Raw genomic sequence first — 22,669 nt, forward strand, 5'->3', positions numbered from 1 at the left:
CATCACAGTGCTATTCACAATAGCAAAGAAACGGAATCAACCTAGGTGCCCATCAATGGAGGACTGGATAAAGAAAATGTGGTACACATACACCATGGAATACTACACAGCCATAAAAAAGAATGAAATCATGTCCTTTGCAGCAGCATGGTTGCAGCTAGAGGCCATTATCCAAAGCAAATTAATGCAGGAACAGAAAACCAAACACCGCATGTTCTCACTTATTAGTGGGAGTTAAACATTGGGTACTCATGGACATAAAGATGGCAACAAAAGAAACTGAGGAATCCTAGAGTGGAGAGGGAGAGAGGGAGGCAAGGATTGAAGAACTATTGGATACTGTGCTCAGTACCTGGATGATGGAATCATTTCTATCCCAAATCTCAGCATCATGCAATATTACCAAGGTTACAAACCTGCACATGTACTCCTGAATCTAAAATAAAAGTTGGGGAAGAAAATTTGGATTTTATTCTAGCTGTAATTGAAGCGATTAGATGGGTAAAAGGAAAGGATCAACAATGAGATACCTTGTTAGCTGCCACATATATTTAGAATGGCCCCAAACTTGACCATGTCACAATGGGCTGAAAATGCAGCTATGTCTAACTTTTTAAGTTTCAGACACAGCCAATTCAGGGGACTCTCTTTTGCTGTTGTTTCTATAAGAAGGATGATTGTGTTTTGGGGTCAGGTCGGTGGAAGGATTCAAAATCAACCTGATTCGGAGTGAGGAGCACTTTCAGAGTTACTGCAACAAGATATTTGCCGGCTGGGACTTCTGCATCACTAACCGCAGCATGGCGGATCTGAAGCACAGCAGCTTGCGGTACGAGCTCCGAGTGAGTGCTCCTGAGTTTGTCCGTGGTGGGGTCCTCACCAGCAAGGTCCTGCCTTTGGAGCCTGAGTTTTCAGCTTGCAGAGGATCAAGGGTCGGGGACAGGTTGTCCCTGGTACTTAGCAAGTTACCCCTCTGTAGCTTTCAAGAACGTTTCACAGCGAACACGTTACTGGGGTTGATTACCCTAGACCTGAACAGGAGCACTGGTGAACTGGGACTGGGAAGTGGGGTGGGGATGCAGTGGCTGGAAGAAGGTGATGTCTTTCCCCACACCCTGCTACTTTACACTGTTATTTTTCCACCTGAGGAGGACCTGTCATAAACACTACTTATACCAGGAGAAATGGGAGTGAGGAGGGAATGTTATGACAATAGTGTGAGATGGAGAGTATATGAAAAAGTACAGACCGGGCGTGGTGGCTTATGCCTGTAATCCCAGCACTTTGGGAGGCTGAGGCAGGCATATCACAAGGTCAGGAGATCGAGACCATCCTGGCTAACACGGTGAAACCCCATCTCTACTAAAAATACAAAAAATTAGCCAGGCATGGTGGCACATGCCTGTAGTCCCAGCTACTTGGGAGTCTGAGGCAAGAGAATCGCTTGAACCGGGAGGCAGAGGTTGCAGTGAGCCGAGGTTGCACCACTGCATTCCAGCCTGGGTGACAGAGCGAGACTCCGTCTCAAAAAAGAAAAAAAAAGTACAAGAGAGTTTCCAACCATCTCTACTAAAAATACAAAAAATTACTTGGGCATGGTGGCACATGCCTGTAGTCCCAGCTACTTGGGAGTCTGAGGCAAGAGAATCAATTGAACCAGGAGGCAGAGGTTGCAGTGAGCCTAGATTGTGCCACTGCATTCCAGCCTGGGTGACAGAGCTAGACTCCATCTCAAAAAAAAAAAGTACATGAGAGTTTCCAAATGAATAAGGAGAGAAAGGAGTAAAGAATAGCATGTTAATAAAAATAAACCCATCAAAGAAAAGGAGGAGGGGACAAATAAATCAAAAGCATAATAAAATGGAAGGAATCAAATCAAATCTATTCTTTCTTACACTAAATACGAACTGATTAAATTATCCTAATAAAAGCAGAGACTACTACATTGTGTAAAAGAAAAAATAACAACACCTCACCTGTATTGTGTTTGAAGAAATGACACATACTATATTTAAGTAATATGAATAGTTTATAGTTCTGTTTTCACATTTATTGCAAAGCCCAATTGCAGTCTTAAATAGGAGGTTCTGTCTTTACTTAGGTCTTTAGTAGACATAAAAAATAGTTGGGCTAGGCCAGGCGCAGTGGTTCATGCCTGTAATCCAGCACTTTGGGAGGCCGAGGCAGGTCAGGGTCAGGAGATTGAGACCATCCTGGCCAATATGGTGAAACCCCGTCTCTACTAAAATTACAAAAATTAGCTGGGCATGGTGGTGCATGCCTGTAATCCTAGCTTCTCGGGAGGCTGAGGCAGGAGAATGACTGGAACCAGGGAGTCAGAGGTTGCAGTGAGCCGAGATTGGACCACTGCACTCCAGCCTGGCAACAGAGCGAGACTCTGTCTCAAAAAAAAAAAAAAAAAGAAAGAAAAAAAGTAGTTGGGCTAAGTCTAGGATGGTTTCTTGGGGGAGATGAATATTTAAAAGATGTCTTTTTTTTTTTTTTCTGAGATAGCATTTTACTCTGTCACCCAGGCTGGAGTACAGTGACGTGATCATACATCACTGCAGACTCGAACTCCCGGGCTCAAGCAATCTTCCACATCAGCCTCCCGAGTAGCAGCGACTACAGGCACTCATCACCACACCCAGCTAATTCTTCTGGGTTTTCTTGTAGAGATGGGGTCTCACTATGTTGCCAGGGTTGGTCTTGAACTCCTGGGCTCAAGTGATCCTCCTACCTTGGCCTGCCACGGTGCTAGGGTTACAGGAGTGAGCCACCATGCCTGGCTAGAACTCTTAAAGATGGATGGGGAGAGAATGATGAATCAATTTCTATCCCTGAGTATCCCTTCATCCCACTGCTCACAAGTGAATTTTCTTTTATCTTCAGGCAGATCTGGAGGAAGAAAGAATGCGGCAGAAAATAGCAGAAAGGACCTCAGAAGAAACAATACGCATTTACTCTTTGAGACTGTTTTTGAACTGTATTGTTCTGGCTGTTTTAGGGGCATGCTTTTATGCAATATACGTAGCAACTGTCTTCTCGCAAGAGCACATGAAAAAGGTAAATTAACTTGTACTCTGGCTGGACATTATGCCTAGTGCACTGAAAATCTGTGAGGTAGATACCATCGTCATTTCTGTTTTACATATGGAGATACAAGTTTGGCTGATATGATCAAGACCTGAAAATCAGAGGTGATCAGTTTCCACTTTTTTATTTTTTTTTGAGATGGAGTTTTGCTCTTCTTGCCCAGACTGGAGTGCAATGGCATTGTCTTGGCTCACTGCAGCCTCTGCCTCCCAGGTTCAAATGATTCTCCTGCCTCAGCCTCCCGAGTAGCTGGGATTACAGGCATGTGCCACCACGCCTGGCTAATTTTGTGTTTTTAGTAGAGACTGGGTTTCTCCATGTTGATCAGGCTGGTTTTGAACTTCTGACCTCAGGTGATCTGCCCGCCTCCACCTCCCAAAGTGCTGGGATTACAGGTGTGAGCCATTGTGCCCTGCCCAGTTTTCACTTTTAAGAGAACTTTTTTGTTTTTGTTGTTGAGACAGAGTCTCACTCTGTCGCTCAGGCTGAAGTGTGGTGGTGTGATCTCAGTTCACTGTAACCTCCACCTCCCAGGTTCAAGTGATTCTCATGCCTCAGCCTCCCTAGTAGCTGGCATTACAGGGATGTGCCACCACACCCAGCTAATTTTTGTATTTTTAGCAGAGACGGGGGTTTCACCATGTTGGCCAGGCTGGTCTCGAACTCCTGACCTCAAGAGATCCACCCACCTTGGCCTCCCAAAGTGCTGGGATTGCAGGTGTTAGCCACCGCACCTGGCCTTAGAGAAAATTTTAAAAGCATCTAAAGTGTAGTGTTTGAGATCCTTACTGCTCCTGGAATTTGCAATATTCAAAACTAGGCTGGACTAGGGTTTTATCCCTGACTGTTATTTTTGAACTAAGGCCTTGGTTTACCTAAAATAGCAGTGGTTTTAAAATTCCAAGTTTGTCTAGTGGCTCTGTTTTATGCAATCAATCATCAGGGGTCCAGGTTCCGTTCATCTTGTGGCTCTGCCCTCCCTAGGATATGGTTTTCTTTTCTTCTTTCTTTTTTCTTTTTTTTTTTTTTTTGAGACAGAGTCTCACTCTGTCACCCAGGCTGGAGTGCAGTGGCACGATCCCGGCTCACTGCAACCTCCACCTCCCGGGTTCAAGTCATTCTCCTGTCTCAGCCTCCCGAGTAGCTGGGATTACAGGCACCCGCCAACACACCTGGCTAATTTTTGTATTTTTGGTAGAGACAGGGTTTCACCAGTTTGGCCAGGCTGGTCTTGAACTTCTGACCTCAAGTGATCCACCTGTCTCAGCATCCCAAAGTGCTGGGATTACAGGCATGAGCCACCACACCTGGCTGGGTATGGTCTTCTGTATGGTACAAGATAGCTCACCACCATGGCCACATTCTAGCCAAGGGGAAGGAGATGAAGGGGCTAAGGAGGGCACATTTCTTCCTTTAAAGGGCATAACCTGTGGGTTACACTAAAAACTTCCACTTATATCCCCTTGGCCAGAATTTAGTCACATGGTAGTACCTAGCTACAAGGGAGGCTAGGAAATTTACTTTTTATTGCGGATGGCTATATATTGTCCAGGTAGTCTGTTACTGTGAAAGCAGGGAATTGCTATTTCAATTTCAAATCAAATCAATTCTACACCCTTGAAGATACTTTAAATTGCCCGTTTATACAGAATACATGGGTCTTCTTATACATCCCTTTAATAAATCCAGTAGATCCTGGTTTTCTTCCTGCACAGTACTAGATACCTCTTTTTGAATATCTGAAGAAGGAGATGGCGGCCGGGCGAGGTGGCTCATGCCTGTAATCCTAGCACTTTGGGAAGCCAAAGCGGGTGGATCACCTGAGGTCAGGAGTTTGAGACCAGCCTGACCAACATGGTGACACCCTGTCTTTACTAAAAATACAAAAATTAGCCTGGCATGGTGGGGGGTGCCTGTAGTCCCAGCTACTCGGGAGGCTGAGGCAGGAGAATCGCATGAACCTGGGAGACGGAGGTTGCAGTGAGCCGAGATTATGTCCCTGCACTCCAGCCTGGGTGACAGAAGGAGACTCCATCTCAAAAAAAAAAAAAAAAAAAAAAAGGAACGAGATGACTTATGCTTACAGGCCATGTTGAATGACAAATACGTTTTGTTTGCCCAACACACATAGTTGAGTTCTTTTTTGTTCTATCTATTTGTGGTGTAACTTCCTCATATACTCCTGACTAATAAGTTTTGTTATCCTCCTAGGAAATCGACAAGATGGTTTTTGGAGAGAACCTCTTCATATTGTATCTACCGTCTATTGTGATCACGCTGGCCAATTTTATCACCCCAATGATCTTTGCCAAGATCATCCGCTATGAGGATTATTCTCCAGGCTTTGAGATCCGTCTGACAATCCTTAGGTAATGCCTAACATGAAGATGGCAGGCATGTCAAGCCAGTCACTACCTGCCCACTCTCTTGCCCATGGCAGACATCGCTAATCAATTGTAGTGCATTTTCCTGCTGAGCCAAGAGTCCTCCTCAACCTTCAGACAGCCCCCATGAATGAATCAGAATTTGTATATATGGTGAAATGTCTTTGATTTGAAAGTCTACTCCTTGGTATTATATTTTTGCTTCATATAATAGCACAGGGCACAGGCTGGGACCCTGAGAGGAGGGGTTGCTCTAAAGCTGTCAGAAATGACAGCTATAAGGCAGAGTCCAGGGAGTTAACACAAATGAGTGGAGAGGACCAGGTGGGACTGTGCAGGACTTGAGAGTTTTCTTTCTGTTTCTCAAATGCCTTAGATTGCATTTGCATCTTATTTCAAACATTTTTTATTTTGAAAATTTTCTTTGATTCTTTTTTTTTTTTTTTTGAGATGGGGTCTTACTCTGTCCCCCAGGCTGGAGTGCAGTGATGTGATCATAATTCACTGCAGTCTCAAATCCCTGATCTCAAACAATCCTCCCACCTCAGCCTCCCACATAGCTGGGACTACAGACATGCACCACCATGCCCAGCTAATTAAAAAAATTTTTTTTTTTGTAGAGACAGGGTTTTGTTATGTTTCCCAGGCTGGTCTTGAATTCCTGGGCTTCAGTGACCCTCCCACCTCCAGCTCCCAAATCCTGGGATTACAGGCAAGAGCCACCATGCCCGGTCTCAAAGTTTTCAAACAGAATGCATAGTGTAATGATCCCCATATGCCTTTCACTTACATTTCAGTCATTCCCAGCATTTTGCTAATCTCGTTTCCATCCATTCCCTCCTAATTTGCTAGATTATTTTAAGCAAATCTCAGGCAACATGCCATTTCATCTGTAAACACTTCATTATACCTTTTTTTTTTTGAGACGGAGACTTGCTCCGTTGCTCAGGCTGGAGTGCAGTGGCGTGATCTTGGCTCACTGCAACCTCCACCTCCCGGGTTCAAGCGATTCTCCTGCCTCAGCCTCTCAAATAGCTGGGACTACAGGCACGGGCCACCATGCCTGGCTAATTTTTTAAAATATATTTTTAGTAGAGATGGGGTTTCACCATGTTGGCCAGGCTGGTCTCGAACTCCTGACCTCAGATGATCCACCCACCTTAGCCTCCCAAAGTGCTGGGATTACAGGCGTGAGCCACCGTGCCCAGCCAACTTCATTATATCTCTAAGTGATGGGAGCTTTAAATATATAACCATCATCACACCTAATAAAATTGAGGCGGTCTCCCCAGTGGGGTTGCAGATGGTTTTCCATGTTTGATTTGTTCAAAGCTGAATCCAAACAAGGCCCACATGCTGTTTGGTAGTCATGTGTCCTAAATCTCTTTTATTATTTTCAGAGTTTCCCCTCCCCTTTTGTTAGGCCTTTGATTTGTGGAAGAAACTGGATCATTTTCCTGTAGAATAGCTCCTATTCTGGATTTCGTCCATTGTTTCTTCCTGGTGTGTTTAATTTGTTTTTCTATGCCCATAGTTGCTATAAATGACTGTGGAGATTCAGAGTTTTTGGTAGATTCTGTGTCAGTTTTTAGTTAAGGAAACCTCATCAGGGGTGCCGTGTCCTTCCTGTTGTATCCCAGCAGAGGCACAGAAGGTGGTGTTAGTAATGAGAACAGTGAGCAGAGGGCGTGGGTTCGCTCTTTCCCCCATTCTTTTCTTTCCATTTTATTTATTTATTTTTTTTGAGACTGGGTCCAGGCTGGAGTGCAGTGGCATGATCGTAGGTCACTGCAGCCTTGACCACCTGGGCCCAAGTGACCCTCCTGCCTCAGTCTCTCGAGTAGCTGGGACTACAGGTGCACACCACCATGCCAAGCCAATTTTTAAATTTTTTGTAGAGACAGGATCTCCTCACGTTGCCCAGGCTGTTCTCAAACTCCTGGGCTCAAGCAATTCTCCCACCTCAGCCTCCCAAAGTGTTGGGATTACAGGCTTATGAGCCACCATGCCCAGTCTCCCTTATTCTTTAAATTATTCCTTCTTTTTTTTTTTTTTCTTTTTTTTGAGACGGAGTCTCACTTTGTCGCCCAGGCTGGAATGCAGTGGCTCGATCTTGGCTCACTGCAAGCTCCGCCTCCCGGGTTCACGCCATTCTTCTGCCTCAGCCTCCCGAGTAGTTGGGACTACAGATGCCCGGCACCACGCCCGGCTAATTTTTTGTATTTTTTAGTAGAGATGGGCTTTCACCATGTTAGCCAAATGTTTCTATTTAATTTATTTTTTTATTTTTATTTTTATTTTTCGAGACGGAGTCTCGCTCTGTCACCCAGGCTAGAGTGCAGTGGCGCGATCTCGGCTCACTGCAAGCTCCGCCTCCCGGGTTCACGCCATTCTCCTGCCTCAGCCTCCCAAGTAGCCGGGACTACAGGCCCCCGCCACCATGCCCGGCTAATTTTTTGTACTTTTAGTAGAGATGGGGTTTTACTGTGTTAGCCAGGATGGTCTCGATCTCCTGACCTCGTGATCCGCCCACCTCGGCCTCCCAAAGTGCTGGGATTACAGGCGTGAGCCACCGTGCCCGGCTACTTAATTTATTTTTGTATTACAAACCAAACAATGGAAAATTGTCTTAAAAAAAAAAACAAGAACAAAAACTCACCGTCTCCGCCCACCTCCCTTGAATCCAGTGTGTTTTTGTCTGCACAGTTCCTTATGTTTGTGCCAACACTCACGTTTTTTCTTCCAAAAATAGGATCATATTTATGTGATATCTCTGCAGCATACTTTTTTTCACTTTTCAGCATGCCAGACATCCCGCGACCCTGATACAGAAAAGATTCCATTGGTTCTTTTCAGGACTGTGTCATGTCTTGTAGTGTCACTATGTCATCACAGAATTAGGAGGTCCCAGCTTTCTGATCTTTTAAAAAAATTGTAGTAACATATATGTAACATAGAAGTTGCCATTTTAACCATTGTCAGAGTACAATTTGGTGGCATTTAAGTACAGCCCCAATGTTATGCAGTCATCACCAGCATCCATCTCCAGAACCTTTTCAACAGCCCCAACAGAAATTCTGTACCCATTTAGGCATTTGCTTATTATTTATTTATTTATTTATTTCTGAGATGGAGTTTCGCTCTTGTTGTCTAGGCTGGAGTGCAATGGCGTGATCTTATCTCACCGCAACCTTCGCCTCCCAGGTTCAAGAGATTCTCCCACCTCAGCCTCCTGAGTAGCTGAGATTGCAGGGATGTGTGCCACCATGCCCAGCTAATTTTGTATTTGTAGTGGAGACGGGGTTTCTCCATGTTGGTCAGGCTGGTTTCGAACTTCTGACCTCAGATGATCTGCCTGCCTCTACCTCCCAAAGTGCTGGGATTACAGGCGTGAGCCACCGCGCCCGGCCTGCTTTTGTTTTCTTTGAGATGGAGTCTTGCTCTGTCGCCCAGGCTGGAGTGTAGTGGTGTGATCTCGGCTCACTGCAACCTCTGTGCCCCAGATTCAAGCGATTCTCCTGCCACAGCCTCTGAACTAGCTGGGACTACAGGCGTGTGCCACCACACCCAGCTAATTTTTGTATTTTTGGTAGAGACAGTTTCACCATGTTGACTAGGCCAGTCTTGAATTCCTGACCTCAGGTGATCCCTCTGCCTCGGCCTCCCAAAATGCTGGGATTACAGGCATGAGCCACCACGCCCGACATTGGTTTTTTTGTTTGTTTGTTTGTTTTTTCTCACTCTGTCCCTGAGGCTAGAGTACAGTGGCTGAATCTCCGCTCACTGCAGCCTTGATCTCCTGGGCTCAAACAATCCTCTGGGCTCAAGCAATCCTCTTGACTCAGCCTCCTGTGTAGCTGGGTCACCACCACACCTTGCTCATTTTTATTTTTATTTTTTTGTAGAGACGGCCAGGGGGTGGTGGTCTTACTTTACTGCCCAGGTTGTTCTCAAACTTAAGGGCTCACGTGATCCTCTGGTCTCTACCTCCCAAAGTGCTGGGATTACAGGCGTGAGCCACTATGCCTGGCTGGGGTTTTAAGAAAGGCAGCTTTGGGCTGGGCACCGTGGCTCACACCTATAATCCCAGCACTTTGGGAGCCCAAGACAGGCGGATTGCTTGGGGCCAGGAGTTCGAGACCACCTGGGCAATATGGTGAAACCTCAGATCTACTAAAAATAGAAAAAAAATTAGCTGGGTATGGTGGCAGACACCTGTAATCCCCGCTACTTGGGAGGCTGAGGCAGGAGAACTGAGATCACACCACTGCTCTCCAGCCTGGGCAACAGAGCAAACACTCCATCTCAAAAAAAAAAAAAAAAAAAAAAAAAGGCAGCTTCTACATTCCCTAGCCCCAGTTCCAAGGGACCAGCCACCCTGAGGGCCTCATCTTCCCATCCTCTCTCCTTCTCTCCCCGAAGGTGTGTCTTTATGCGGCTGGCCACCATATGTGTCCTGGTGTTCACGCTGGGCTCCAAGATCACATCCTGTGATGATGACACATGTGACCTTTGCGGCTACAACCAGAAACTCTACCCGGTGAGTTGCGGGGCGGGGGCGTTCGGCTGGGTGGGTCCTTCTGGAATACAGTGTCATGGTCAAGAGAACAGCGGTTGAAGCCATGGGTTTGAACTGCATTTGCTTCGCTTTCTTGTTCTAGTGATGAGACAGAGTCTGGCCCCATGGAGTCTAACCCCAGGCACTTCTGAGGGCTTGGAAACCAAGGTCTGTGCTGAGGCTCAGAGTTTGCATCAGCTGATGCCCTCACTGGAGCCACAGGATCTGGAGTTGGAAAGGGAATTAGAAGGTGTCTTGGGAGCCTGGTTTTCTCTGCCTCAGCTAGGGTCTTTCAGTTTCCCTCACTCTCTTTGATTTCAGTGCTGGGAGACCCAAGTTGGGCAGGAAATGTACAAGCTGATGATCTTCGACTTCATCATCATCTTGGCTGTGACACTCTTCGTGGATTTTCCTAGAAAGTAAGTGCGAGGGGTGCCCATATTATCCCCCCCACCACACACATGCACACACACACATACACACACACACAACTGGAGGGTCCCATTGCAGCTGCATTCCAGAAGCTGCTGGATGACTCTACAGCCCTGGAAATCTGACAACTGGTAACTTTCTTTTTTTTTTTTTTTTTTTTTTTGAGGCAGGGTCTTGCTCTGTCACCCAGGCTGGAGTGCAGTGGCGCGATCTTGGCTCACTGCAACCTCCGCCTCCCAGGTTCAAGCGATTCTCCTGCCTCAGCCTCCCGAGTAGCTGGGACTACAGGTGTGTGCCACCATGCCTGGCTAATTTTTTGTATTTTTAGTAGAGATGGGGTTTCACCATGTTAGCCAGGATGGTCTGGATATCCTGACCTCGTGATCCACCTGCCTCGGGCTTCCAAAGTGCTGGGATTATAGGCATGAGCCACCGCGCCCGGCCAAGTTTTTAATTTTTTGTAGAGAGGGGCTCTTGCTATGTTGCCCAGGCTGGTCTCGAACTGGCCTCAAACGATCCTCCTGCCTCAGCCTTCCAAAGTGCTGGGATTACAGGTTTGAACCATTGTGTCTGTTCACAACTGGAAACTTTCAAGCAGCTCTAGGCTGTTGACCTCAGCATTCATTAGTTGCCCATCTAAAGGCAGCATGAAGAGCAGAAATGGGGTCGCTTTCCATGAGGTTTTGCTGGGGATGACCTTCTGCCATCAGCACAAAAGGTGCAGACCTTCCAGGCTGCAGTGGACACCTGTCTCCCGATCTGGGTTCAAACTCCCTCCCTGCTCCTTGCTAGTCATGTGACCTTGGGCAAGTTATTTAAGCTCTGTGCCTATTTTCTCATCTGTAAAATGGGGATAGTAGTAGTACCCACCCAGTAACTTTGTGGTGAGGAGTAACTGGGATAATTAATGCAGATAAAAGCACTGAGAACACTCCACAGTATAGAACTCAACAAAACATCAGCTATCACCAGCATGATTATCATAAACTGTGTTGTCATTTCTGTTATCATTCTCTGTTCACTTAACCACTGTTTACCCACATATGCAGATAATCTAGGCAGAGGCCAGAGGTCCAGTGAGCCCTTAAAAATAAATATGGAAGCCTGGGCACAGTGGCTCACACCCATAATCCTAGCACTGGGGAGGCCAAGGTAGGAGGATCACTTGAGGCCAGGAGGTTGAGACCAGCCTGGGCAAAATAGCGAGACCCTGTCCCTACAAAACACAAAAATTAGCCAATTAGCCAAGCATGCACATGTAGTCTCAGCCACTTGGGAGGCTGAGGCAGGAGGATCACTTGAGCCTTGGAGGTCGAGGGTACAGTGAGCTATGATTGCACCACTACACTCCATACTGAGTAACAGAGTGAGACCTTGTCTCAAAAAAAAAAAAAAAAGTCAAGGATTGTATGAATTTCAGTGCTGAACTATAGATCTGAGACTTGGAACCTGATCTTAATGATTCCAGAGTTCATTATATTCTGCATCTTTAAGACATTTGACTAACCAGTGTCCATGAGAAATATGCATGGAAATAGTCCTGATCTTTGTGATATGGTTCTGTGGCCTTGGCAGACACCAGTAGCCCAAATGAGAATTGTCTGTTTCCAGGCTCCTGGTGACCTACTGTTCCTCTTGCAAGCTGATTCAGTGCTGGGGGCAGCAGGAGTTTGCCATTCCTGATAACGTCCTGGGGATAGTTTACGGGCAAACCATCTGCTGGATCGGAGCCTTTTTCTCACCCCTTCTCCCTGCAATTGCAACCCTGAAATTCATTATCATCTTCTATGTGAAAGAGGTAAGGAGCCGGTGGGAATGGGGGCTCATATACTGGGCCATTTTCGACCTTCCAGGGCACCAATATGTCTGGAGCTCACCTCACATCCCATGAGACGTATCAAAATTACATCCTTTATTTAAAATATATGTTTATTCTAGAAAAATATTGCTTTTTTTTTTTTTTTGAGATGGAGTCTCACTCTGTCACCCAGGCTGGAGTGCAGTGGCGTGATCTCGGCTCACTGCAACCTCCCCCTCCTAAGTTCAAGTGATCTCCTGCCCCAGCCTCCCGAGTAGCTGGGACTACAGGAGCCTGCCACTGCGCCTGGCTAATTTTTGTGTTTTTAGTAGAGACGGGGTTTCACCATCTTGGCCAGGTTGGTCTTGAACTTGTGACCTCATGATCCACCCGCCTCGGCCTCCTAAAGTGTTGGGATTACAGGCGTGAGCCACCGTGCCCGGCCGAAAAAGACTCTTGATGGATTTTTTTTTTTTTTTTTGAGATAGAGTCTCGCTCTGTCATCCAGGCTGGAGTGCAGTGGCACGATCTCGGCTCACTGCAACCTCTGCCCCCCCAGGTTCGAGCGATTCTCCTGCCTCAGCATCCTGAGTAGCTGGGATTACAGGTGCGCTGTGATTTTTGTACTTTTAGTAGAGACGGGGTTTCACCATCTTGGCCAAGCTGGTCTTGAACTCCTGACCTCGTGATCCACCCGCCTCGGCCTCCCAAAGTGCTGGGATTACAGGCGTGAGCCACCGCACCCGGCCTACTCTTGATGAATTTTTATGTTTTTATAATTTTGAGAGTTTTGTTAAGAATTTTTTTTATTAAGGCTGGATGTATTTTGTAATTTTCTGTTGTATTTTGGAGCCAATGCATTTTTTTTATTTGTTTGGTTTTTTTGAATTTTTTTTTTTTTTTAAATTAGAGATGGAGGTCTTGCCATGTTGTCCAGGCTGGTCTTGTACTCCAGGGCTCAAGTAATCCTTCTGCTTCAACCCCACAAAGTGCTGGAATTGCAGGTGTGAGCCACCCCGCCTGGACCAGTGCATTTATTTTCGGGTTTCAATGATTTGTGTAAGACCCTGGGCGGTTCACAGTCCATTGCACCAGATCTAAGTGCTAATGAGGGATGTAGCCTTGCAGATGACTGGCTCATCTGGGCATATTAACCTCTTTTTTCTTTCTTTATTTTATTTTATTTTTTGAGATGGAGTTTTGCTCTTGTTGCCCAGGTTGGAGTGCAATGGCATGATCTTGACTCACGGCAACCTCCACCTCCCGGGTTCAAGTGACTCTCCTGCCTCAGCCTCCTGAGTAGCTGGGATTACAGGCATGTGCCACCACGCCCGGTTAATTTTGTATTTTTATTAGAGAGAGAGTTTCTCCATGTTGGTCAGGCTGGTCTTGAACTCCCGACCTCAGGTGATCTGCCCGCCTCAGCCTCCCAAAGTGCTGGGATTATAGGCATGAGCCACTGCGCCCAGCCTCTTTTTTCTTTATTATAGAGGCAATACAATATTAAACATTTAAATAATGCACATATGTATACAGTAATTTCTGTCCCTTCTTCCAGAGGTACCCTCTGTTAACAAGCCCAACGTTTATTGATTACCTGTTATGCCAGGCCCTGAGGATTCAAAATTGAAAATCATAACAATAGTGTTAATAATGATAATAATGGTGTTAGTAATAATAGCAGATAATAATGCCATGTGTCCCCACTCTGCCATTACTTTACACAAATTATCATGCACTGATTACACCCACCCTTTGACAAAGTACTAGATTATATTTTAGTTAAGAAATTTTTTTTTGAGACAGGGCCTCACTCCAAGTTGGAGTGCCGTGGCGTGATCTCAGCTCACTGCAGCCTCTGCCTCCAGGGTTCAAGCGATTCTTGTGCCTCAGCCTCTTGAGCAGCTGGGATTACAGGCATGCGCCACCGTGCCAAGCTAATTTTTGTATTTTTAGTAGAGACAGCGTTTCACCATGTTGGCCAGGCTGGTCTCCAACTCCTGGCCTCAAGTGATCTGCCTGCCTTGGCCTCCCAAAGTGCTGGGATTACAGGTGTGAGCCACTGCGCCCGGCCAAAGTGTCATATTTTATAAATTAGGAAGCTGAAGTTCAGAGAAACTGGTCCAAGGTCACACAGCTTTTAAGTGACCCCTTGGATTTGAACCCAGGTTTATTTCACTCCAGAGCCTAAGCTCTTAACCCAGTAAGCAAGGCCCTGAATTGGGCCAACCGTTCTACCTGGATGTTTTGGCTTTTGAAGAATGTTCTGATGCTTTCACTTGAAAACACAGGTTGGCCGAAATCATCAAAGGAGAGATGGACGTGAGAAAGCTCACAGGAACTTTTTTTTCCCTTTCCAGGAAATACTGATTAGCCCGTGGCTTCGCAGTGTGTAGCATAGTACAGACACTGTGGGGTGATGGGTTGGGTCATGGTGGGTACCTGGCCTCACTTCCGTCACTCACACCAGGCATGTCCCGCCGGCTGCCCCGAGGCTGGGCACCAAGTATCTTCGGTACTCAGTGTCCTCTGGCTCACAAGATGTTCCGGCTCCTCCTGAATTCAGAAGAACTTATGTCCCTGCGCAGTAACACAGCTTTTTAAACTATTGAGAAATTTCATGCCTGTTACCATTATATCCTTTCTTACTCCCCATTTGATATTTCCTTCAAGTCTTTCTTCCCTCAATGGAAATACTTATTTTTAACATGTAGGAGAAAATATATGTGCTTGTAAAAAACTTCAAATAAAGGAACTCCTAATTTGGTGTATATTATTGTAGATACAGTTATACATGTTTAAATCCCTATAAGGAATACATACTTAAAAAAAACTTAAATGGCCGGGCCCGGTGGCTCATGCCTGTAATCCCAGCACTTTGGGAGGCCGAGGCCGGTGGATCACGAGGTCAGGAGATCGAGACCATCCTGGCTAACACGGTGAAACCCCATCTCTACTAAAAATACAAAAAATTAGCCGGGCTTGGTGGCGGGTGCCTGTAGTCCCAGCTACTCGGGAGGCTGAGCAGGATGGCATGAATCCGGGAGGCGGAGCTTGCAGTGAGCCGAGATCGCGCTACTACACTCCAGCCTGGGAGACAGAGCGAGATTCCGTCTCAAAAAAAAAAAAAAAAAAAAAAAAAACCAAAAAAAACAAAAAACTTAAATGAATTCATCTTGTACGGAGTTTTGAAATCTACCATTTTCACAGTGCCACATGGGGATGTAAAGCTGTCTCTCATCCTTCTTTTTTCTTTTTTGAGACGGGGTCTCACCCAGACTTAGGGCAGTGGCACAGTAGCATGATACAGCTCACTACAGCCTCAACCTCCTGGGCTCAATCCATCCTCCCACCTCAGCCTCCCAAGTAGCTGGGAATACAGGTGCACACCACCATGGCTGGCTAATTTTTGTAGAGACAGGGTTTTTTTTAATAGAGATGGGGTTTCACCATGTTGGCCAGGCTGGTCTCGAACTCCTGGCCTCAAGTGATCCACCCACCTAGGCCTCCCGAAGTGCTGGGATTACAGGCGTGAGCCACCACGCCCGGCCTCATCCTTCTTTAGGACTGTATGGTATTTCATGCTATATAGATGTACTTTAACCTTTAACTATAACCTAATGAACTCCTGCTCCCCACCTTCACTTTTCTTTTTGAGACAGGGTCTCTCTCTGTTGCCCAAGCTGGAATGCAATGGCATGATCATAGCTCACTGCAGCCTCAAAGTCCTGGCCTCAAGTGATCCTCCCGTTCTGACCTCCCAAAGTGCTGGAATTACAGACGTGAGATGTCTCACGCAGCCACGAGCCCCCACTGATAGCTATTTAGGTTGCTTGCAGTTATTCCGTGTTATCAATGACTGTAGCGTTAAACATCCACATACCTGTGTTTTGGCCCATTTCCCCTTCTATTTCATCAGCATGAATTCTCCAAAGTTTGGAGTCTGGATGAAACCTTTTTTTTTTTGGATTTTTTTCTCCACCAAAATCTTTTTTTTTTTTTTAATTTTATTATTATTATACTTTAAGTTTTAGGGTACATGTGCACAACGTGCAGGTTTGTTACATATGTATACATGTGCCATGTTGTTGTGCTGCACCCATTAACTTGTCATTTAGCATTAGGTATGTCTCCTAATGCTATCCCTCCCCCCTCCCCCCACACCACAACAGTCCCCGGTGTGTGATGTTCCCCTTCCTGTGTCCATGTGTTCTCATTGTTCAATTCCCACCTATGAGTGAGAACATGCGGTGTTTGGTTTTTTGTCCTTGTGATAGTTTGGATGAAACCTTTTTCATTTTGATCTGTATTGCTGGACTACCCTCTGGAAAGGTTAGAGTGATTAACATTCCCACTGTAATGCAGGAATGCACTTATTTATCTTCACAGAAGCTGTACTTATTGATCTTAATTTTTCTTTCTTTTTCTCCTTGTAGTGGAGTCTGCTTTACACCTGCAGACCCTCCCCCAGGCCGTTCAGAGCATCCAATTCTAATTTCTTCTTCCTGTTGGTGTTGTTGATCGGGCTGTGTTTGGCAATAATACCTCTGACAATCAGCATATCACGGTAAATGTGACTTTGTTTTCTAGAACATTTCATTGCTTCTTGACCTCTTCCTCTTTTATGTAAAAGCGTCCGTCATATCACATTTTTTTTTTTTTTGAGATGGAGTCTTGCTCTGTCACCCAGGCTGGAGTGTGGTGGCGCAGTCTTGGCTCACTGCAACCTCCGTCTCCCAGGTTCAAATGATTCTCCCGAGTAGCTGGGACTACAAACTCCATCTCCCCAGGTTCAAACAGCCTCCTGAGTAGCTGGGACTACAGGTGTGTTCCACTATGCCCAGCTGATTTTTATATTTATTAGTAGTGACAGGGTTTCGCCACGTTGGCCAGGCTGGTCTCAAACTCCTGACCTCAGGTGATCCGCCCGCCTTGGCCTCCCAAAGTACTCGGATTACAGGCGTGACGCACTGTGCCTTTATTGGCTTTTCTCATGGTGTTCTACCCACAGAGGCTGACAAGACTTCCAAGACTCAAGCGATCTTCTTCCCTCAGCCTCCTGAGTAACTTGATACTACAGGTGTGCACCACCATGCCTGGCTAATTATTTAAACTTTTTAATTTTTCTGTAGAGACAAGGGCTCACTATGTTGCCCAGGCTGATCTCAAACTCCTGAGCTCAATGATCCTCTTGCTTCAGCCTCCTGAAGTATTGGGATTACAGGCATGAACCACCACACCAGGCCAAATTTTGTTTCTTCACCTTTAAATTAAAAGCCTGTACTGGGTGCGGTGGCTCACACCTGTAATCCAACACTTTGGGAGGCCCAGGTGGGGGTACTGGTTGAGCCAAGGAGTTCGAGACCAGCATTGGCAACATAGCAAGACCTTGTCTCAAATTAAAAACAAAAAAACAAACAAAAAAATAGGAAAAGCCTGGAACTTTGAGTCCCTCTCTCAGATTTTGTTCTTTTTTTTTATGAGACACGGTCTCACTCTGTTGCTCAGGATAGAGTGCAGTGGTGTGATCTTGGCTCCCTGCAACCTCTGCCTCCCAGGTTCAAGCAATTCTATGGCCTCAGCCTCCCAAGTAGCTGGGATTACAGGGACCTGCCACCACACCCAGCTAATTTTTGTATTTTTAGTAGAGACAGGGTATCGCCATGTTGGCCAGGCTGGTCTCGAACTCCTGATCTCAAATGATCCACCCATGTCGGCCTCCCAAAGTGCTTGGATTACAGACATGAGCTACCATGCTTGACCAGATTTTATTCTTTTTTAACACTTTGATTCTGTATGTGTTTTGTTGCTCTTTATTGTTATGATAATATACATTATATAAAAAATTCAAGCAGTACAGAAGGGTGTAAATTGAAGAGAAAAAAATTGCTCCTTATCTTCACCTCTTATTCTCACTCTCCATAGGTTACGTAACAACTGTTAACATTTTCTTATGAATACTTCCAGAAATTCTTTATGAAAAGCAATTATTTATTTTTTAAGAAAACGTGAGATAATAGTATAATCCTGCTTGGTAATTATTTTTTCATTAATATTCTTTTTTTTTTCTTTTTTTTCCAGTTAGTTTTATATTGTATCCTTTCCCATGTCCATGGACATACTAAACTCTTCTTTCAAAAATATTTTTAGCTTTGATTTTTTTTTCTTTTTGAGACAGAGTTTCGCTCTTGTTGCCCAGGCTGGAGTGCAGTGGCGCGATCTTGGCTCACCGCAACCTCTGCCTCCCAGGTTCAAGCGATTCTCCTGCCTCAGCCTCCAGAGTAGCTGGGATTACAGGCATGTGCCACCATGCCCGGCTAATTTTGTATTTTTAGTAAAGACGGGGTTTCTCCATGTTGGTCAGGCTGGTATCAAACTCCCGACCGCAGGTAATCTGACTGCCTCGGTCTCCCAAAGTGCTGGGATTACAGGCGTGAGCCACTGTGCTCGGCCTGATTTTTTAAAATAGGAAATGCATTCACATAGCACAAAATTCAAAAGATATTTTAAAAAATGGTGAAAATTCATTTTCTCATTCCTTCTCAAGTACTTAATTTTCCTGAGTGATGGTCATCTCCTCATATCTGTGTCTTTTCTTTCTTTTTTTTTTTTTTTTAAAGATGCGATCTTGCTATGTTGCCCAGGCTAGTCTTGAACTCCTGAGCCCAAGTGATCCTCCCACCTCCACCTCTCAAAGCACTGGGATTACAGGCGTGAGCCACCGTGACTGGCCACTTTTCTCTCTTTTTCTCTCAATGGTTCTTCAGTATTCAGTCATATGAATGGGCCATAAATTGTTCATCCATTTCCTTAAACAACATTTAGGTTGTTTCCAGCAATTTATTTTTATCCCTACATAAAGGGCTGCAATGGAAAGTCTTATACACAGACCTTTGTGATGTGAATTTAGTCAGTTCTTTCCAGGTCTTAATTTTAGTGCTTTCCTATTGTAATTTTATTTTATTTTTTTCTCTCCTTTTCATTTTGAAAAAGTTTAAATCTACAGAAAAGCTGAAAAACTAGCAGCAGTAAAACGCATATGCCCTTCAACTGGATGTCCCAATTGTTAACATTTTACTATGCAGTCTCCCTCAGGACCTTTGGGGAACTGGTTCCATGATCTTCCCCCCCAACCACATTAAAATCTTCAGATGCTCAAGTCCTTGCTATAAAATGGCATGGTAGGCTGGGCGCGGTGGCTCACTCCTGTAATCCCAGCACTTTGGGAGGCCAAGGAGGGCGGATCACCTGAGGTCAGGAGTTCGAGACCAGCCTGACCAACATGGAGAAACCCTGTCTCTACTAAAAATACAAAATTAGCTGGGTGTGGTGGTGGGCGCCTGTAATCCCAGCTATTCCGGAGGCTGAGGCACGAGAATCACTTGAACCTGGGAGGCAGAGGTTGCAGTGAGCCGAGATTGCACCAATGCCACTCTAGCCTGGGCAACAAGAGTGTAACTCTGTCTCAAAAAAAAAAAGCATGGGATTTGCTTTTTTTTTTTTTTTTTTTTTTGAGAGGGAGTCTCACTCTGTCACCCAGGCTGGAGTGCAGTGTCACCATCTTGGCTCATTGCAACCTCCGTCTCCCAGGTTCAAGCGATTCTCCTGTCTCATCCTCCCAAGTAGCTGGGATTACAGGCACGTGCTGCCACTACGCCTGGCTAATTTTTGTATTTTTAGTAGAGACGGGGTTTCGCCATATTGGGCAGGCTGCTCTTGAACTCCCGACCTCAAGTGATCCATCTGCCTCGGCCTCCCAAAGTGCTGGGATTATAGGCACAAGCCACCGCACCTGGCCATATTGTTATTTTTTATTTTTCAAATATTTTTATCTAAGGTTGGCTGAATTTGATGAAGAACCTTTGGATATGGGGGGCCAACTGGATTTGTTTTCTCTATGCATACTTTTTTTTGGATAGGAAATAATTTGAAATTAACTTATAGACATCATAATATTTCACTGCTAAATACTTTAGTGTGCAGCTCCTAAGACTAATGGCACTCTCTTTTATGTGTTTCCACAATAATATATCACACTTAAGAAGATTAATACTAATACCATGTTTCTGTCATTTTAAATTTCTCCAATTGTCCCCTAAATAGTCTTTAGTATAGCTTTTTTTTTGGAGATGGCATGTCGCTCTGTCGCCCAGGCTGGAGTACAGTGGCCCGATCTCGGCTCACTGCAATCTCCACTTCCTGGGTTCAAGCAACTCTCGTGCCTCAGCCTCCCGAGTAGCTGGGATTGCAGGCGCCCACCACCATGCCCAGCTAATTATTGTATTTTTAGTAGAGACGTGGTTTCACCACGTTGGCCAGGTTGGCCTCCATCTCCTGACCTCATGTGATACACCCGCCTTGGCCTCCCAAAGTGCTGGGATTACAGATTTGTTTTTAAAATAGTGATCTTTCAAGTTTGACCCATTGCTTCTATTTCTTCTATCTCCTTAGTCTCTCTTTTTTTAAATTTAAATTTAAATTTTAAGTTCTGGGGTACATGTGCAGGACGTGCAGGTTTGTTACCTAGGTAAATGTGTGCCATGGTGGTTTGCTATACCTACCCCCGTCACCTAGGTATTAAGCCCAGCATACGTTAGCTATTTTTCCTAATGCTCTCCTTCCTTAGTCTCTTTTAATCCCTGATTCTTTGAAGAGTCCAGGCCAGTTTCCTCACTTCTAAATTAAGAGACCGGAGAATAGAATGCCCACATTTTGGATTTGTCTTGTTATTTTCTTACACTGTCATTTAACTTGCTCTTCTGTCCTGAATTTCCTGTAAACTGGAAGTTAGGTCTAGAGACTTGATAAAATTTCAGGGTAAGCATTTTCTTTCTTTCTTTCTTTCTTTTTTTTTTTTGAGACGGAGTTTTGCCCTTGTTGCCCAGGCTGGAGTGCAGTGGTGCAATCTCTGCTCACTGCAACCTCCGCCTCCCAGGTTCAAGTGATTCTCCTACCTCAGCCTCCCAAGTAGCTGGGTGGGCATGCACCACCATGCCCGGCTAATTTTTGTATTTTTAGTAGAGATGGGGTTTCACCACGTTGGTCAGCCTGGTCTCGAACTCCTGACCTCAGGTGATCCACCCGCCTCGGCCTCCCAAAGTGCTGGGATGACATTCGTGAGCCACCGCGCCCAGCCAGGGTAAGCATTTTCGACTCAAACATTCCAGAAGGCCCAGGAGGTTAGGTGGCTCCCTGTAGGCCATTGTTAACAAAACATTCTGGGTGTACAGGGGCGGGACACTCAACCTGTGCTGCACGCTCCTTCTGAGCCCGTTGGTCTGTGTCCTGGCAGCATCCCTTCCTCGAAAGCCTGTGGGCCGTTCACCAACTTCAACACCACCTGGGAGGTCATCCCCAAGACGGTGAGCACCTTCCCCAGCTCGCTGCAGTCCTTCATCCATGGTGTCACATCCGAAGCCTTTGCAGTTCCTTTCTTCATGATTATTTGGTGAGTGAGAACCACCAGGACCCACTGAGGCACGTGGGCTCCTCCCATTGGGAAATGGCGGCGGTCGGGGCGGGGTCACCCTAGACTTGACAAGTTACTGAGCTTCTTTGAACTGCACTTTCCCATCTCTAAAATGGGCATAATAGGCCAGGCGCGGTGGCTCATGCCTGTAATCCCAACACTTTGGGTGGCTGAGGCGGGCAGATCACTTGAGGCCAGGAGTTCGAGACCAGCCTGGACAGCACAGGGACACCCCGACTCTACAAAAAAATAAATAAATAAGTAACAAAAATTAGCTGGGCATGGTGGTGCATGCCTGTAATGCCAGCTACTCAGGTGGCTGAGGCATGAGAATCGCTTGAACCTGGGAGGTTGAGGTTGCAGTGAGCCAAGATCATACCACTGCACTCCAGCCTGGGTGACAGAATAAGACCCTGTCTCAAAAACAAATAAATAAATAAATAAACTAGGCATAATAATAGTCACTCTTTCAGAGGCTCATTGGGCAAATTAAGAAAGATCACACTTAGCCCAATGCCTGGCTTATAAAAAGCTAATATATATTGCCTATTATTAACATTACTGTTTATTTACAGAATCTCTTGCTCTTTGACAAGGAACAGATTTCTGAGCAGAGAGATGAACATCAGATTAGAAGCATGCCCTTGAACCCTGGCTCTACCACTTATAAGCCATGAATAACTGGCATTAATTGTACCTTGCATGTACTAACTCATGAAATCATCGCAATTACTCTGTGATGCAGATATTCTTACAGTAAAACCCCAGCATAATACAAGAAGTGAGCCCAAAGAAATGTACCTGTAAAAAGGCAGGATACCTTTGATGAGATTAATACAATGACTTGGGGGAGCTGTGCAGCTAGCCAGACTCAAATTCGTAGGATCCAGGGCTCCAGCCGCTTCACCCTAATGGGTTCACCCCAGCAGTGC

General features: G+C 45.6%; 1 protein-coding gene across 9 annotated transcripts in view; it reads left to right on the forward strand.

Moving 5' to 3' along the window:
• Positions 1 to 22,669, forward strand: part of TMC7 (transmembrane channel like 7) — an 80,009-nt gene that overhangs the window by 51,048 nt on the left and 6,292 nt on the right. For 5 of the 9 annotated variants that reach the window (XM_047434662.1, NM_024847.4, NM_001300732.2 and 2 more), the window contains 8 exons: positions 695 to 842; positions 2,893 to 3,066; positions 5,308 to 5,465; positions 9,903 to 10,020; positions 10,360 to 10,457; positions 12,082 to 12,268; positions 16,705 to 16,835; positions 21,561 to 21,716. In XM_047434662.1, the coding sequence (XP_047290618.1) occupies positions 695 to 842; positions 2,893 to 3,066; positions 5,308 to 5,465; positions 9,903 to 10,020; positions 10,360 to 10,457; positions 12,082 to 12,268; positions 16,705 to 16,835; positions 21,561 to 21,716 (1,170 nt within the window). The remainder of the gene's footprint in view (positions 1 to 694; positions 843 to 2,892; positions 3,067 to 5,307; positions 5,466 to 9,902; positions 10,021 to 10,359; positions 10,458 to 12,081; positions 12,269 to 16,704; positions 16,836 to 21,560; positions 21,717 to 22,669) is intronic. The other 4 variants (NM_001324263.1, NR_136733.1, NM_001324265.1 and 1 more) reach the window with 4 other exon arrangements.

The sequence above is a fragment of the Homo sapiens genome, chromosome 16 (genome assembly GCF_000001405.40).
Source record: "Homo sapiens chromosome 16, GRCh38.p14 Primary Assembly".
Classification (NCBI taxonomy): Eukaryota; Metazoa; Chordata; class Mammalia; order Primates; family Hominidae; genus Homo; species Homo sapiens.